Raw genomic sequence first — 15,838 nt, forward strand, 5'->3', positions numbered from 1 at the left:
TTACATGACTGACCCACAAACAAATAACTTTAATTTTTTTTTTTTTTTTTTTTTGAGCAGGAGCTGGGCCTTTGAGGGCCCCTGCTCCAACCCCAAGCTGCATTTATGATATAACCCATCACAGCTGGATTTTAAAAATACACAAAAAAATATATAATATACATTATAAAACCTAGGTGGGGTTTGGAGGTGGCCTGAGCGATATGCAAACAGTGAGGACCTTCAGGAAGCTCGGGCAGGGTCGGGATGAGGAAGGGAAGGGGCACAGTACTTCATATGAAACTCATAAATACCCACAGGTGGCTGCTGGACAGGCCCAGCTGGCTCTGGGGGCCTGGGTGTTAAGAAGGGACAGCAGGTGAAGGGTTAACCTTCAGTCCCAGAACTGGGTCTGGGAGCTGCTACTCTAGGCAGGTAGATTGAGGTGGGGAAGAACCTAAGGGAGCAGTGCCCACCAAGGGTTTGTCAGATTCAAGCCTCAGGCAAGAGAAAAATCAAAAGCCTTCTGCTACTCTCTCCCTCTGGGCCTCTGGTCTGCCCAGAGGCTGGGACTCCTTCCTCTACCTTGCTCTCAATCTGGAGGGTGCTGGGGGGTGCCCCATCTTCCTGGGGCCCCTGGCTGGCTTGTGGGCTAATGAGGTGCTAATGGGGTCTAGTAGCTGCTGTGCTCCCTTCTTCATGCCCAGTCTGAAACAGGTGCTCCCCTAACCCAGCGCCCCTCGATGAGGCTCCACTCCACACTGCAGAGCCTCTCCCCTACCCTGCGGCCAGCCCCCGCCCCAGGGAGGTAGTATAAACCTGGGCTCTGGGGACAAGCAGCCCTGGATGAGAACTCCAGCTCTGCCCACCTCTCCTGTGGGTCCCTCAACTTCCTGGAGCCTGGGCACTTCATCTGAAACCCAGAGACCTACGCTCGCTGTGCGGAGTCTGAGGACCACACAAGCCATGCAAGGAGTCTGGGCACCAGGCCTGGGACACAAAGGGGCAAGGAAGTGTGGGCCCCTCTGTCCTCAGTCCAACCCCAACCGGACACTCCCAGGGCCTCTGCTCACTGACTCCCTTGGTCTCCATCCTGCCCTCACCTGCCCATCATGCTCCCCCAAGGGTGGGTGGGGGTACAGTGGCCACACATGCTGGAGGCTGAAGGTGTCCCCTATCCCCACCTCTCTGAGGTCACGCGAGGCTGGGCAGAGCAGGGTGATGGTGGGTCAGCGCCCCGGACAGGCTGCCCCACCGCTGAGCCCTCCTCTCCTCTCTTCTCCCACAATTAAAGCGCAGAACAGTGGCAGGGAGTGTGTGTGCTGGGGTAGGTGGGGAGGCCTCCTGGGTCCTGGGCCTGAGGCCTGGCAGGTAGATGAATCCTCAATCCTGGACCCCCCCAGGGGTGCCAGGCAGGTGTGGAGAGGAGATGCTCACCCTGCATCCTTAAGGAGGCGCAGAGGGCACCCTAGTCTTTGACGAGCTTGTAGACATGGTGCTGGGCCCCGTGCTCACTGGTGGAGACTTCGAAGACAAAAGCAATGACAAGCAGGGTCTCCTGGGAGTCCCGGCTCGTGACCACCTGGGGGGTGAGCAGGTAAGAGATTCAGGAGGTCAGGGAGAAAAGGGCCACGGGGCAGGGGGCTGAACAGACCATTCTCCTTTCCGGATCTATGCCTCTCAGCCAAGCGATGTGTCTGGCTACCCAACTTGGAGGCCCTGGCCTGTGGGACTCCCCACGACCCCTGCTGCCCCCATACCTGCAGGATGGTGAAGTTCTCCAGCACGCTGTTCATCATGTACTTCTCGGGCAGGTGCTTCAGCTTGTGGATGAAGTTGATCATGTACTCGCACATGGGCGAGCGGTGGATACGGTACACAAAGCGCCCGTTCTCCAGCCTGGCATACTCAGTCTGCAGAGAATATGGAGAAGGCGTCACTCGGCCTGCCTGCTCCCAGCCCCACCAAGCCACCCAGAGCCCCCACTCACCTCCACCTTCTCTACCACCTGTTTGCCAAAGGAGCACACCTTGGTGGAGACGCTGATGGTCATGCTATCAGCAGAGCTGTACTGAGAGCTGACCCCATAGAAGGCTCCCGGGCCCTCCTGGATGGTGCTGTTGAGGTCGGCCTGGGCATGGGGGTGGGGGGTGTTAGGTGCTGGCAGAGACCAGAAGTATTCCCGCCACACCACATCAGAGTCCTGCCCAAGGATCCATCTCTGGCACTCTGCCCACAAGCCATGAGGATGCAGCAGGGTCAGAGGTCAATGCAGTGGGCCTGGATGTTGCACCTCTGGGGTGGGGAAGGGGGCTTGGAGCAGAGAAGGCCAGGGGGACTCACCCAGAACTTGACAAGGAAGAAGGCATTAGGGGGCCCCTTCTCATAGAGCTCCTTCAATCCTCCCTTTTTCTCGGGGAATTTGTCATAGATCTGGCGCACATCTACTGCCTCCAGGGGTGGGTCTGAGAAGGCGGGGTTCGTCTGGCCGATGTGCACAAACAGGTGTTTGCTGTACTGTGGGGAGGGCCCAGACAGGGTCAGGAGAGTACTCAGGCTTGCAGGCCCGGGGGCGGGGAAGGGAGCACTGCACAGGTATAGAATTGCCTAGGGCTTCCTGAACAGGCCAGACCCCCAACCCCCAGATCCTGAGTTGCAGCCCTGGATCACCCGGCCGGCCTCTCCACAATTGTGCAAAGCCTCACCCTCACCCCCAAACACGTTACCGTGTCAGGGTCTCGCTGCACCTCCATGAAGGCTGAATACTCCAGGAGCCGCAGCCGGGAGGAGGCAATGGTACGGTCCTGCCACACAGGCACAGAGGCAGCAGCTGAGGGGAGCGGGGCCAGGGGCTCATAACCTGGGAGGGCGAGACAGATTTTCATCTGCATGGATGCATGCAGGTGCTTACTGACAAAGCTGCCCCCAGCTTGCAAAGGTGCCCCTTTTGGGAAGGAACATGAGTTGGATTTTGACTCCCCTACTATGTGTCCTTGTACAGTGTACAACCTGCACAACCATACGTGGTGGCCCTAGTAGTATATATCAAAAACATTTCCTTGTGTGTTTAAACAGAAAACACAGAGAAGTAAAAAAGGGAAAGAACAATTACCCAGAATCCCACCATCTAGAAAGAGAAAGTCTTGTTAAGATTTCAGTGCATTTCCTTATGGGGAGTTTTCTATCCATAGAGATGTGTGTAAATGTAGGTTTTGGTGGTGTGTGCTTGTAGCTGTGTATTGGCTATGGTTTTTTTGTTTTTCTGAGATGGAGTTTCACTCTTGTTGCCCAGGCTGGAGTGCAATGGCACAATCTTGGCTCACTGCAACCTCCACCCACTGGGTTTAAGTGATTCTCCTGCCTCAGCCTCCCAAGTAGCTGGGACTATAGCCATGCGCCACCACGCCCAGCTAATTTTTGTATTTAGTAGAGACGGGGTTTCACCATGTTGTTCAGGCTGGTCTCGAACTCCTGACCTCAGGTGATCCACCTGCCTCAGCCTCCCAAAGTGCTGGGGTTACAGGCATGAGCCACCACGCCTGGCTTGGCTATGGTTTTGTGCCAGAGATCTGGAAGCAACATTGTACAAGGTAAAGGGGCTATTCCTGGCCTGTCCCAATCTCCTGTAGATGTCGCAACCCCCTCCCTCCCAAAGCAAACACACACAGTTGGACCCCAGCTCTCCTGAGTGGAGGTGCAGGTGCCAAGGGAGAGCACCTCGTGTGGGGAACTTACTGCTGAGCGTCGGCGGCAGGGGCGGCTGGATGGGGTAGGCTGGCTGTGCAAAGGGCTTGATGCTGCAGACAGGAGCACAGCCTGGTGAGAGGGTTCCCTCTTCCCTACCTTCCACCTGGCCCAGCCCCTCTTCCAAGACCCCAGGAGCAAGCCACCCAGCCTTTCTGCTGAGGCCCAGAAACGCATGCTGAAAAGCTAACTCGCAAGCTTTTTGTTTTCTGCACATTTTAGCTTTTGTGAAATCCTGCTGCGTCTCCCAGCTGATCTGCCCATTTAGTGTAGGATTTCATTTCAACCTTCCCCACCCCCCACCCTGAAAAGCTGCTCCTTAAGCTGAGGGTCTTTTGATGAAAGTTGTTTTAGAGTTGAAGAACCAGCACACTTGACCACCTGACTTGTTAACTGAGAGACTGCCTCAGAAACTGAGCAGAAAGTAAACAAAGAGATGGATGACAAGTGGATGCATGCTGATGAGAGAATGCATAGTGAACAGCCAGCGCATCAGCTGTCCTGTTGCCACTCTCCAGCTTTTTTTTTTCTTTTTTCAGAGACAGGGTCTCCCTCTGTTGCTCAGGCTGTAGTTGCAATGGTGCAATCAAGTCTCACTACAGCCTGGAACTCTGGAACTCCTGAGCTCAAGCAATCCTAGCCTGCCTTGGCCTCCCACGTAGCTAGGACTACAGGCACGCACCACCACACCCAGCTAATTTTTTTTTTTTTTTTTGAGAGAGCAAGTCTTGCCCTGTTACCCAGGCTGATTCTGAACTCCTGGCCTCAAGCAATCCTCCCACCTCGGCCTCCCAAAGTGCTAGGATTGATTACAGGTGTGAGCCACCACCCAGCCTGCATCCCTCTATTTTTGAATTAAAACTTTGCTCAGCTGTTGCTGGAGCCCAAATGGGAGGGAAGCCCTGTGCGGCTGCCAGGAGGAAGAGGGCGTGGGATGATGAGCCACAATACTCACTCCTGAGAGGGTCCAGGCTGCTGTCCCAGGAGAGGGGGGCTGCTCCAGAACTGCAGGGATGAGACAAGGCCCAGGGGCCCCTCAGCATCCATGAACCCCACTAAAGCTCATCCTTTACAGCACACCCCCACACCAGCCCACCTCCTGGGACCCATGTACCCGCGAGGAAGTGGAGAAGACGGCCTGGGGCAGAGGGGAAGGTGGGCTGAACTTGTTCTGCAGGACACTGGCAGAGACGATCTGGGCAGAGGACATGGACGCCATGCTCTGAAGGGCTTTGTCCTTGGAGACCTGGTCCTGGGGAGAGGAGGCTGCATGAAGCCAGGGCCACGCTGGATGAGGCCAGGCTTGCTTTAGCGCCCCTCCCATGACCCCAGCAGAGTCCAAAGCACTAGGATGGCAGGTGTTCCTGAAGATCCAGGCCTGGATTCCAGCCCCAGCTCTGCTGTGTGATCTTGGGAGAGTCTCTGCACCTTCCTGGTCTCAGTCCCCCAAGTGCCCATCACCGCTGACCACAACCACAGTAAGAAATTATTTTATTCCAAAGGCCAATATATGTCAAGATATTTCCTCTTACTGTATGTCATGTACTCTCCTATTTTCTTTTTTTTTTTTTTTTTTTTGAGACGGAGTCTCGCTCTGTCACCCAGGCTAGAGTGCAGCGGCATGATCTCGGCTCACTGCAAGCTCTGCCTCCTGAGTTCAAGCAATTTTCTTGCCTCAGCCTCTGGAGTAGCTGGGATTACAGGCATTCGTCACCATGCCTGGCTAATTTTTGTATTTTTAGTAGAGACGGAGTTTCACCATGTTGGTCAGGCTGGTCTCGATCCCCTGACCTTGTGATCCACCCACCTCTGCCTCCCAAAGTGCTGGGATTACAGGCGTGAGCCACCACGCCCAGCCATTTCGTTTTTTTAAAATGAGGCTTGCACACCTATTAAGTTGGTTTCATAATCTGTCATTTGAAAATCCTGTATTAGGTGTTAAGACCCTTTCCCCCACTCCCACTGGGGAGGGCTGTGCTACTTACCAGGTTCATGGCCTGTGAGGGAGAGAAGGAAGATAGATTAGAGGACATGTGCAGCACCAGGGCTGTGGGCTGAGGGACGTCTTTGCGCCTACCTCCACCCAGTGCCCATGGGTTTTAGCTTCCGAGGAGCCCAAGGAAGCTCAGCAGACCCTCCCCGTCCCCACAGAGGGAGTGCCTGCCAGCTGGGGCAAGCCCTGGAAAGGGCAGAGTGAGGGAAAACAAGCTGGTGCCCTCTGGGTCTGTCCATATGTTCTGGAACTAGGCTCTGGGCATGGGGGCCTGGGGGTAAGAGGCCCCCTCTGCTGCACCGCTGTGGGCAGGGAGAAGAGCACACGGCCAGCGTGAGGCCCTCAGAAGGGCCTCAGTCATGAACCCCAGACTCTGAGATCCGCAGCTGCAGGACAGCCAGCTCTGCAAGGAACTGCCATGCCCACCTCAATAGCCCTGCCGGCCAGTAGCCCCGGGGCCTCCTCCCTGCCCACGGAAGTCCCCATGCAGTTAGTAAGCAGCAGTCAGGAAGAAGGAGAAAAAGAAAAACAGAGAAGAGGAGGGGTGGGCCTTAGTGGCCCCCAGATGGTCTCCCTCTCCCTCACTGACAGGGCCCTTGGGCTTCCTGCTGCCACTTGTGTTTCTTTCTGGACCCCCTCACAGCTTCTCAGCCCCTTGCCTGTCCCAGGCTGGAGCCACAGAGCAGCGACAGGCCTGCACCCAGGAGGGTGCTGGGCAGGCCAGGCCAGGTGGCAGGGGCCCCGTACCTTCAGCTTAGACTGAATCTCCCGAGATTTCCGCCTGGCTAGAACTTGCAAGTGGCTAGAGACCTGTAGAGAGAGAAAGAAAGAGAAAAAGAACAGAAAGAGCGGAAGGAGAGGCAGAAACAGAGCTTCAGCCAGAAAAGAGGCACAGTGGGGCTGGAGAGCTGGCCAAGGAAAGGCCTGAGCTATGCAGAGATAGCGCCGTGGGTGAGGGGCCCAGGAGGGCTGAAGGCCCCCGCCAGGCACCCAACATACCTTGATGCCAACCTGGTACTCCCGCACCTTCTTCCGAGCTAGAACCTGTATGTGGCTGGACACCTAGGGGCCGCCCCGCGCCCCGCCAGAGAGGAAAACATAGACAGTGAGGAGGCACAGCCATGGGGTGGCCGCGGGCAAGGAGCATCCCAGACCTCTCATCTCTAGGGAACTACATGTAAATGGGGGGACCTTTTTTCTTTTTGAAACAGGGTTTATGTTGCCTGGGCTGATCTCAAACTCCTGGGCTCAAGCGATCCTCCCACCACAGCCTCCCGAGTAGCTATGACTATAGGCATGTGCCATTGTGCCCGGTTCAGACACCTCTTGACACTGCCAATTCTGTTCTCTTTTTGGTCTTATCATGATCAAGAGCCACAGTGGCTTCCAGGGCCACCATGTACAGCTGCACAGGTTGTTCACTGGCCCAAAGGGCACCAGTGAGGGCTGAAATCCAGCCCAAGTTCTGCTGCCCAAGCTATGTGTCCTTGTACAAGGCTGTGCCTAACCCTGTCCTCCCCGCAAAAAGGGTGACTTTTTCTCACTGGTGTCCTCAGAGGAGACAACCTTTTTCTTATTGGCACCACAGGTGCTAGCAACGGCCATGGTGCTCCTGTTGGCCACTAGCTTATACACCAAGGCCACATCCTCTACCAGGGATCTCCCGGGTACCACCGCCTGAGTCCTCCTGTCAACCCCAACCACAGCCCCAGCCTATGAAACGAGGCCTGGCCCTCCTGCTTTGCTCCCATAACTTTTCCCCCCAATATACCTTCTTTCTGCTTGGGCTAATATATGCTAGTGTGTATATATGTACTCAGTGGGTGCTCTTAATTGCAATTCTTCTCTAGCCATCTCCTCCTCGCAGCCTCCGCAGGCAAACTTGAGCTAATCACTGTCTGGATGTGTGTGCCCTGGGCTGTGTGCCCAGCTGACACCACAGACCCTTGACCTTGTGAAAGATCTGACCCAGAGGCACAGAGAACCCAAATGTCACTGTTTTCCCCAGGAAACACACAGATCCTTGACGCCGCTTCACGCTTTCAGCATTGGCAATTGGCTTTCTTTGCGAGTTGTTTTTACTCCCACAAAGAAAGCTCGTTTTTCTCTTTAATCACAGCCTGACAGTGAGTAAGTATGTGATACCACCTGGTTAGGACCTGGGTGGGTGCTCCTCACACTGCCTCACTGAGCCCAGGAATCAGACTCCTGTCCAGCAAAATTACTGACCACTTCACGCTGTGACAGTAACTGGCGTTTACTGAGCACAGATACTATCGTCCTCTGCATTTATACATACTGACCCCTTGATCTTTACAGCAACACAAAAACCTAGGTACTAATATCCCTGACTTACAGATAACGAAACTAAAGCCTGGAAAGGTTAAGCTGTCACACGGCTGAGTGCTACAGCCAGGATTCAAACCCAGGCGGTCTGACTCCAGAGCCCACTCTGACTCCACTCACCACCAAGCTCCGTTACCAGGACTCACTTGGACCCTTAGCTCAGAAGACTGCCTCCAGATGGTTGACTCTGTAACAGCTGAAAGTCACACAGAGCTTCATTCTAACTTAATATTTAGCTCTTTTGTCCATATGGAGGCATTGTGCTTACTACGAATTGCTGCATGTGTGTATCTGTAAAAACCTAAAACTGCATTTCTTTGCCAAAAGTAATTTTTTCTTTTTTTGAGATGGAGTCTCGCTCTGTCACCCAGGCTAGAGTGCAGTGGCGTGATCTCGGCTCACTGCAACCTCTGCCTCCTGGGTTCAAGCGATTCTCCTGTCTTAGCCTCCCGAATAGCTGAGATTCCAGGTGCACACCACCACACCCAGCTAATTTTTGTATTTTTTAGTAGAGACGGGGTTTCACCATGTTGACCAGGCTGGTCTCAAACTCCTAACCCAAGTGATCCACCTGCCTCGGCCTCCCAAAGTCCTGGGATTACAGGTCGAAAGTAAATTTTAAAAGGATCAAAAAAAACCTTGTCAGTGGTTACTCTTTTTAACACATAAAGACATGCCTTGTCCTCACAACCAGAGGACAGATCCCCTTTCACTGGGATGTAAAAACCCAGAGTTCTAAGAAAGAGTAAAGACAGGGGGAGTTTCATCCTTGTACCTTATGCCCTTATAATGAAGACAGTGGTTTCTAAAATTCTGAGCTTATCAACAGCTGGTTTGTAAAAGCTCTTTTCTGGGCAGCCCTCTCAGGATGCTAGGCAGGAGCAGGTGTGATGGTGGACCCTGAATTCAGGGGCTGGGATGTGCCCCACGTCTGCAATCCACCCTGGCCTCAGTTCAAAGTGACCCAGCTTGGCTGGATGTGGTGGCTCGTGCCCGTAATCCTAGCACTTTGGGAGGCTGAGGCGGGAGGACTGCTTGAGGCCAAAAGTTCAAGAACAACATGGCCAACATCGCGAGACCCCATTTTTATATTAATTATAAAACTTAAAAAAACCAACAAAAAAACAGTGACCTAGTGACCCTTGGCCCGTTCCCACTCTGACTAACAGGTTCCTATGAACACCTCTTCTGGGTAGAGAAGGACCCGCTGAGAGTTCGCTTCTGAGCTCAGAACGGCTTTCTGTTTATAATAATGTCTGGAATAATAATAACAGCAGCAGCAAATTCTTCTGCAGCGCTTACGCTGTTCTAAGAGTCTTCACATGTTAACTAATTCAATGGCTGAGGATGCAAGGCTGGGAGGCCAACTACTGCCCACTCCCAGGTAGAACCAGTATTTGAACCCAAGGGCTCCAGGGGACAGGGCTCTGGCGCACGCCTCCATGTGGTATCCCTGGTGCCTAGAACACAGCAGTAGGTCAATCATTAGCTAAGTGAATAAATTTGGTGCTGCATGAGCTAGACTTAGGGAGGGTGGTTCATAAATGCTTGAATGAATGAGGGATCGTTGCCACCCCTACACTGGGTAGGGAGGCTCAGAACCTTCCTTTGAGAAAGAGGTGGAACAGGCCAGACTTGACATATGCACCATGGGGATCTGTGGGTCCAAATCCCACCAGGACAGGAGGCTGGGAGTGTGAGGGTAGCACTGGCCTCCATTCCTCCAGGTCCCGCCTCCAGCCTGGCCTCTCCCCCAGGCAGTGGGGCCATCACTCCCATCCACTCCCCTTCAGGTTTCTGTCACTACACTGCCACCTTCCCTGGATCAGAAGCCACTAACTGTCTCTTACATCATCATTTTTCTCCACTCCCACCACCACTACCCTCATCCCAGGCCCTGGCACTGTTGATCTAGGCCTCTGCTTATGCCCGCAATGGCCAGCCTCTCTGTCTCCAGCCAGCCCTCTCTAATCCATTGTCCCGGCTGCTTGAGGGCCTTCCTCAACAGCTGCCACCTGTCACTCCCTGCTCCATACCCTCCTGTAGCCCACCGCTGCCCCTTGGGGAACCTGTCCCCCATGTCTCCTGCTGAGTGTCCCCTACCCCAGCAGTCCCCACCCTCCCTCCACCACATCAGGCTGCCCACAGGCACAGCTCTTTCCTGCCTGGGGGGCTTGAAGAAGTTACTTAACTTCCCTATGCATCAGTTTCCTCATAGTAAAAAAGACAATTACTGTACCTATCTAGTAAGGTTACTGAGAGGATGAAATAAATTAACTTAAAGGAAGCTCTGTATGGGTTTACCATGATTATTAGTTGTATATCCAACTTCCTCAGCCTGGAAGGAAGGGTCTTCTCCCTTTTCTCTGCCTTGCGAACTCCCATTCCTTCTTAAAAATATATCCCGAGTGTCACCTCCTCCAGGGAGCCTTCCCAGCTCTCTCTCCCCACTCCCCTAGCCTTGTCTGGGTTGGCTGCTTGTCCCAGGGTGCCCTGCACCCACCCTCTCTCAGCCCCGCCACCTTGCTCTGTACCCATCCATCTGACCATCTGGCTCCCTGGCTGGTGAGTGAGCCACTCAGGGCAGGGACCATGTAGCAGCCACAGCAGCCCCGTGGGCTTATCTGTGGTCCCTGAACCACAGGCCCTGGGCAGGGTAGTAGGTGGTCAGAGAGGACAGTGGGGCCATCTCTCCAAGAGAAGTGGGAAGGGTGAATGGAGCTGCTTGGGGGTGGGAGGGTGTAAAATCGAGGGGGTAAGGGGAGTGTGATGAGGCAAGGAGGGTGGCAGTCCAGGTCAGGGGCAGCCTCGAGGAGGTGGGCAGGGTAGGGGCAAGGGGTTGACCGGGGCAGCTGAGACAGAGTGTGTGGGTGGCAGGCCCAGCATAAACCGTCTCTCTACCTGTTTTCTCGTCCGAGTCTTCCCCGTCCTCAGTTTAATATAGCGTGCAATCAACTCATTTCGGCCTAGATTGGGGTGAGAGAGAAAATGAGGAGTGGGCAAAGGGTGGAGCCAGAGGCTGGAGGCCCCCACCCCACCGGGAAGCCACTCCAGGACCCTCCCCAAAACACTGCTCTTCTGTTCCTCACTCTCTTCACCCCAAGCTGCACATGCAGGGCATGCAAAGGTGGCTGGGGAGTCACAGCTGCATCCTACCACCTCCAGGACCTAGAGGGGCTGCTCTTCAGGGGAGGGGTGCATGAGGGGCTGCAGGGTAGGAGGAAGGAGGGCCGAGCAGCACTAGGCACCCTGACAGGCTTCCCTGCAGACAGACCGGGTGGCTGTGGTACAGGTCAGCAGGACAGTAGCTGAGTAGGGCCTGTCCTGGCCAGGCACGCCCATCCTCCCAGCCCCCAGCAGTGCTTCCTGCCTGTGTCACCAGCTCCAGTACTCTTAGTGCATGGATTTGTGGGGGCGTGTGAATGAGCCTGCCCCAGGTGGATGTCCTGCCCTTGCTCTGTCTTTACCCTGGTCAAGTCCCTTCCCTTCTCTGGTAAAAGACCAGGAAGGACAGGAAGGCAGCACTGACCGCCTCCAATGTGCCTCCTACACTGGCGGCCTGTGTCAAGATGTGTCACTGAGCATGTCGCCATGTCCTTGTGCCTGTCACCCCCATGTCACCAGTTCCCAGTGTCTCTCCACCCTGTGAGAGCCTTGTGAGCCTTGGGGTGCGGGGTCTGTTCTGCACCACAGACCCTCTGAGGGCCCAAAAGCTGCCAGTGTCCAGGGACTTGGGCCTGAAAGGGGGATGCCTGGGCCACACGGCTGAGCCCAAGTCAGCATGGTCAAGGTGTACACCTCTACCCCCAAATCCAGGCTCTCTGCCCTCCAACCCAAGGCCTCCCCAGAATGGCCAAATTCTCCAAATTCCATTCCGATGACTGAACCAGCCCCATTGCTCCTCCCTCCCGCCAGCCCCTCTCCACCCCACTCTCTCCACCCTGTCTAAAAATACCCTGTGGGGCTCCCCAGCCTGGGAGGCAGCAGTGGGGGCAGACAGCACCCACCCTGTGGAAGGCACCCTGGACCATCTGCCTGCCCCCAAGGTGGGGCTCTGGGGCTGGGTGGGCGTGGCCAAGGGACACGGAGCGGACCTGATCCCTTCCCACAGGCGCGCCCTGGGAAGGGCTGGGCCTGCCTCGCTCAGCCACGGGCTGCTGGGAGGAATAGGGGAGCTGGCCAGGAACCAGGCCCAGAAGGGTCGAGTTATCCCAAAAATGCAGCTCTGGGAGAGCCCTCTCAGGGCTGGACAAGAGGGGACACTCCCTTCTGGAAATGGGCAAGATGGCAAAGAGGAGGGCCAACAAACCCAAGGAGTGGGGAAGGGGACTGAGGAGGGAACGCGTCCCCACAGCCCCAACGCAGGCCTTTGTCCCCGTGCGACCTCCCACAGCCCGCACTGGAGAGAACTATACGGGCTGTGGGAGTCACCGGGCGACTATCACCGGGCCTCCTTTCCACATCCTCCTCCGGGAAGGGACCCCGTTCCGGGCCTCGACCGGCGCAGACTGGGCTGACCCACTTTCTTGGGCCCACTGAGTCACCTCGAAACCTCCAGGCCGGTAGCGGGGAGGAGAGGAGGAGCAGGCGGGGGTGCCAAGGTGTGGGCTGCGCCCTGGTTAGGGGGCGAGCCCGGCTTGTTTATGAGGAGGAGCGCGGAGGAGGATCCAGACACACAGGCTTGCGCGCCCAGACTCGCCCGGCCAGCGGCTGGCGGCCTCCGACGTCACCAAACCGGTTGGGTGAGAGGGCAGAGAGCAGGGGGAAGGGCCGCAGTCCCGCCCGCGCCCCCCGGCACGCACCGTACATCTTGCCCTCGTCTGACAGGATGATCTTCCGCCGGCCGCAGGGCGGGTAGATGGCCAGGGCCTCCTGGAAGCTCTGCTCGATGTCCGGGCTCCACACGCCCTCCGCATCGTTGTCCAGCCCCTTGTCCAGGCCCTCGGGCCCATCCTCCCGGGCCTCCCCGGGGCTGCTGCTGGCGTTCCAGCTGTTGGACGCTATTGTGCTGGTTGCTCTGGGCTCTGGGCCTGAGCCCACTGGGCGGCTGAGCCTGGGGGACAGACAGACAGGAACTGGGACCAGGGTCCTCCTCGACCACAGCAATCTCCTATCCCACAGCCGCTGGCTCTGGAGCTCCGCCCCCAGCCCCAAGCCCACCCTAGGAGCAGGTGCTCCAGGTGGAACGGAGGTAACCAGAGGAACAACCACAGCTTGTTCAGAGCTGTGTGACCTGGGATGCACGCGCTACTTCACCTCTCTAGGCCTCAGTCCTGTAAAACGAGAAAAGGGTCTCCTTGAGGAGACCTCCTTGAGGTTGTGAGGGTTAAAATGTAAATGAGCTCATGACAAAGTACCAACCACATGCCCAGCTCATAATACTCAAGAAATAGGTAATCGGTAACAACAATGCCTCATACCAACACAGCACTTTTGTAGGGAAAAGGCATTTTCATATTCATTCAAACCTCACAAAACTAGGCCGGCGCGATGGCTCATGCCTGTAATCCCAGCACTTTGGGAGGCCGAGGTGGGTGGATCATTTAAGGTCAGGAGCTCAAGACCAACCTGACCAACATGGTGAAAACCCATCTCTACCTAAAAATATATCAGGTCTGGACGCAGTGGCACATGCCTATAATCCCATCACTTTGGGAGGCCGAGGTGGTTGGATCATGAGGTCAGGTGTTTGAGACCAGACTGACCAACATGGTGAAACCCCATCTCTACTAAAAATACAAAAATTAGCCGGGCATGGTGGCACGCACTTGTAATCCCAGCTACTCAGGAGGCTGAAGCAGGAGAATCGCTTCAACCCAGGAGGCAGAGGTTGCAGTGAGCCGAGATCACGTCACTGCACTCCAGCCTAGGCAATAGAGCGAGACTCCTCAAAAAAAAAAAAAAAAAAAAAAAAATTAGCAGGGCATGGCAGCATACTCCTGCAATCCTAGCTACTCAGGAGGCTGAGGCACGAAGATCACTTGAACTCCAGAGGCAGAGGTTGCAGTGAGTGGAGATAGCACCACTGCACTCCAGCCTGGGTGACAGAGCAGACCTTGTCTCAAAAAAAAACAAAACAAAACACACAAAAACAAACAAACAACAACAACAAAAAACACTAAAGCAGGGAAGGTAGGGAATAAAGCCCATTATCCAGAGATGAAAACTAAGGCTCACAAGGTCACGCAGCTGCCAAAGGCATGCTGAGGAGCACAGAGAGGAGGAGCAGAGGAGCAGGGCTGTGTTTCCTCAGCTCTCCCTGTCAGCTCCTCCTCCCCAGTGTCCACATCCCCAGTCAGGGACCTCCACCCCTCACTCTCGCCCCAGCATCAGTGCAACCCTGCTAAGGACCCCTCAGGGGACAAGGAGAGTCCCTGACCCAGAAGGGCACCATTTTATCTTCCCCCAAATCGATAACTAACCAGAACTCTGCCAAGGGGCCTAATGTAGGGCAGGAACTGCCCCAGGAATTACAAAAAGGGAACTGGTGAGGGAGCAGCAGAGAAGGTGCTTGGCCAACAGCCTGGCTCAACCTCACCCGCTCCTCTATCCCACTTCCTGTTCCCGCACCTCCAGGCCCCACAGCAGCCCGTAAACCACCAACACGCCCGCCCCCGCCCTGGCCCATCCTACATGTGGGCCAGGGCTCTGTAAACTGTGAGTGCCCTGAACCTGCCAGGCTATTAATTTGGACCACACCCCACCAGGCCCCCTATCACTCACAACCCCAAGACTCACCCCAAATCCCCTTCAGCCCCAGAACCCACATGTCCAATGTATTCAGGGTCCTGGAAACCTAAGAGCCCATGATGGCTGGATCCTGGGACTTAGCTCTGGGCAGCAGGGAAAGGGGAGGGGTGGAGATGTAGGGGACACCGTCAGAAGCCAGGGAGAGGAAGATGAATTCCAGGTCCTGCTGCTTGAGTCGGGGTGGACTCTCTCTGCAGAGCCACCTGTTTGCTTAGGGAGGCTTGAGGGGATCACTAGTAGAATGAGGTGGGGAGGGCCTGGGAGGTCTGAATGTCAGCCAGTTATTCGGTTATTTTTTTTCTTTTTTAAATTTTTTATTTGTTTTTTATTTTTTAGACGGAGTCTTGCTCTGTCGCCCAGGCTAGAGTGCAATGGCGCGATCTCTGCTCACCGCAACCTCCACCTCCTGGGTTCAAGCGATTCTCCTGCCTCAGACTCCCATGCAGCCTCCCCCCTCAGCATGGTGGCACGCACCTGTAGCTGGGATTACAGGCGCATGCCACCATGCCCAGATAATTTTTTGTATTTTTAGTAAAGACGGGGTTTCACCATGTTGGCCAGGCTGGTCTCAAACTTCTGACCTCATGGTCCGCCAGCCTCGGCCTCCCAAAGTGTTGGGATTACAGGCGTGAGCCACTGCGCCCGGCCCTTGATTATTCTAAACTATTATTCAGTTAGTTATTCAGCTATTCAACTAGTTATTGTAATTATTCTAAACTATTGAGTCTAGACTTAATATTACTACTACTAACAGTACCTGTCATATGCCAGGCACTGTTCTGGGATTTCACACACATTGACTCATTTAATCCTCACAATAACCCTATGGGGCAGATACTATTATTATTCCTAGTTTATAGATGAGGAACCCAAGAAACAGAGAAGTTAAGCAACTTGCCTTAGGGCACACAACAAGTAAGTACTAGGGCTGGGTTCTGAACCCAGGTAAGCTGGCTTCGGTTTTATAACCAGGAAGGTTATAGGGAGGGTGCTGAGAGACCCCACCACCTGAGAGAGAAAGGAGGT

At 55.1% G+C, this 15,838-nt stretch overlaps 1 protein-coding gene across 2 annotated transcripts in view, besides 8 other annotated features; it reads right to left on the bottom strand.

Annotated features, from left to right (window-relative positions):
• The window catches only part of TEAD3 (TEA domain transcription factor 3), a 23,483-nt gene continuing 7,645 nt past the window's right edge, over nt 1-15,838 (bottom strand). Inside the window, exons 2-13 of one of the 2 annotated variants that reach the window (NM_001395214.1) lie at nt 12,865-13,115; nt 10,964-11,028; nt 6,464-6,526; nt 5,709-5,720; nt 4,838-4,975; nt 4,679-4,728; nt 3,715-3,776; nt 2,706-2,839; nt 2,323-2,496; nt 1,970-2,110; nt 1,740-1,892; nt 1-1,561 (exon numbers count right to left, since the gene is read on the bottom strand). In NM_001395214.1, coding sequence (NP_001382143.1) covers nt 1,448-1,561; nt 1,740-1,892; nt 1,970-2,110; nt 2,323-2,496; nt 2,706-2,839; nt 3,715-3,776; nt 4,679-4,728; nt 4,838-4,975; nt 5,709-5,720; nt 6,464-6,526; nt 10,964-11,028; nt 12,865-13,066 — 1,308 coding nt within the window. In that variant the 5' untranslated portion in view covers nt 13,067-13,115 and the 3' untranslated portion in view covers nt 1-1,447. Of the gene's footprint in view, nt 1,562-1,739; nt 1,893-1,969; nt 2,111-2,322; nt 2,497-2,705; nt 2,840-3,714; nt 3,777-4,678; nt 4,729-4,837; nt 4,976-5,708; nt 5,721-6,463; nt 6,527-6,715; nt 6,779-10,963; nt 11,029-12,864; nt 13,116-15,838 lie in introns of both variants that reach the window. The other variant, NM_003214.4, reaches the window with a different exon arrangement.
• Nucleotides 916-1,055: an enhancer, noted in NCBI's record as "active region_24408". NCBI's record gives its function as "activates an Ori minimal core promoter by ATAC-STARR-seq in GM12878 lymphoblastoid cells {active_cell/tissue: GM12878}" and the evidence as "EXISTENCE:reporter gene assay evidence [ECO:0000049][PMID:35858748]".
• Nucleotides 6,356-6,856: an enhancer, noted in NCBI's record as "H3K4me1 hESC enhancer chr6:35447729-35448229 (GRCh37/hg19 assembly coordinates)". NCBI's record gives its function as "activates a minimal SCP1, AML or CMV promoter by ChIP-STARR-seq in naive and primed H9 embryonic stem cells {active_cell/tissue: H9 hESC(naive and primed)}" and the evidence as "EXISTENCE:reporter gene assay evidence [ECO:0000049][PMID:30033119]".
• Nucleotides 11,818-12,393: an enhancer, noted in NCBI's record as "NANOG-H3K27ac-H3K4me1 hESC enhancer chr6:35453191-35453766 (GRCh37/hg19 assembly coordinates)". NCBI's record gives its function as "activates a minimal SCP1, AML or CMV promoter by ChIP-STARR-seq in primed H9 embryonic stem cells {active_cell/tissue: H9 hESC(primed)}" and the evidence as "EXISTENCE:reporter gene assay evidence [ECO:0000049][PMID:30033119]".
• Nucleotides 12,970-13,545: an enhancer, noted in NCBI's record as "H3K27ac-H3K4me1 hESC enhancer chr6:35454343-35454918 (GRCh37/hg19 assembly coordinates)". NCBI's record gives its function as "activates a minimal SCP1, AML or CMV promoter by ChIP-STARR-seq in primed H9 embryonic stem cells {active_cell/tissue: H9 hESC(primed)}" and the evidence as "EXISTENCE:reporter gene assay evidence [ECO:0000049][PMID:30033119]".
• Nucleotides 14,696-15,271: an enhancer, noted in NCBI's record as "H3K27ac-H3K4me1 hESC enhancer chr6:35456069-35456644 (GRCh37/hg19 assembly coordinates)". NCBI's record gives its function as "activates a minimal SCP1, AML or CMV promoter by ChIP-STARR-seq in primed H9 embryonic stem cells {active_cell/tissue: H9 hESC(primed)}" and the evidence as "EXISTENCE:reporter gene assay evidence [ECO:0000049][PMID:30033119]".
• Nucleotides 15,272-15,838: part of a biological region, named in NCBI's record as "VISTA enhancer hs1887", that runs on past the window's edge.
• Nucleotides 15,272-15,838: part of an enhancer, noted in NCBI's record as "H3K27ac-H3K4me1 hESC enhancer chr6:35456645-35457220 (GRCh37/hg19 assembly coordinates)", that runs on past the window's edge. NCBI's record gives its function as "activates a minimal SCP1, AML or CMV promoter by ChIP-STARR-seq in primed H9 embryonic stem cells {active_cell/tissue: H9 hESC(primed)}" and the evidence as "EXISTENCE:reporter gene assay evidence [ECO:0000049][PMID:30033119]".
• Nucleotides 15,756-15,838: part of an enhancer, noted in NCBI's record as "VISTA enhancer hs1887", that runs on past the window's edge. NCBI's record gives its function as "enhancer in: heart[4/5]" and the evidence as "EXISTENCE:transgenic organism evidence [ECO:0001131][PMID:17130149]".

The sequence above is a fragment of the Homo sapiens genome, chromosome 6, assembly GCF_000001405.40.
Source record: "Homo sapiens chromosome 6, GRCh38.p14 Primary Assembly".
Lineage (NCBI taxonomy): Eukaryota > Metazoa > Chordata > Mammalia > Primates > Hominidae > Homo > Homo sapiens.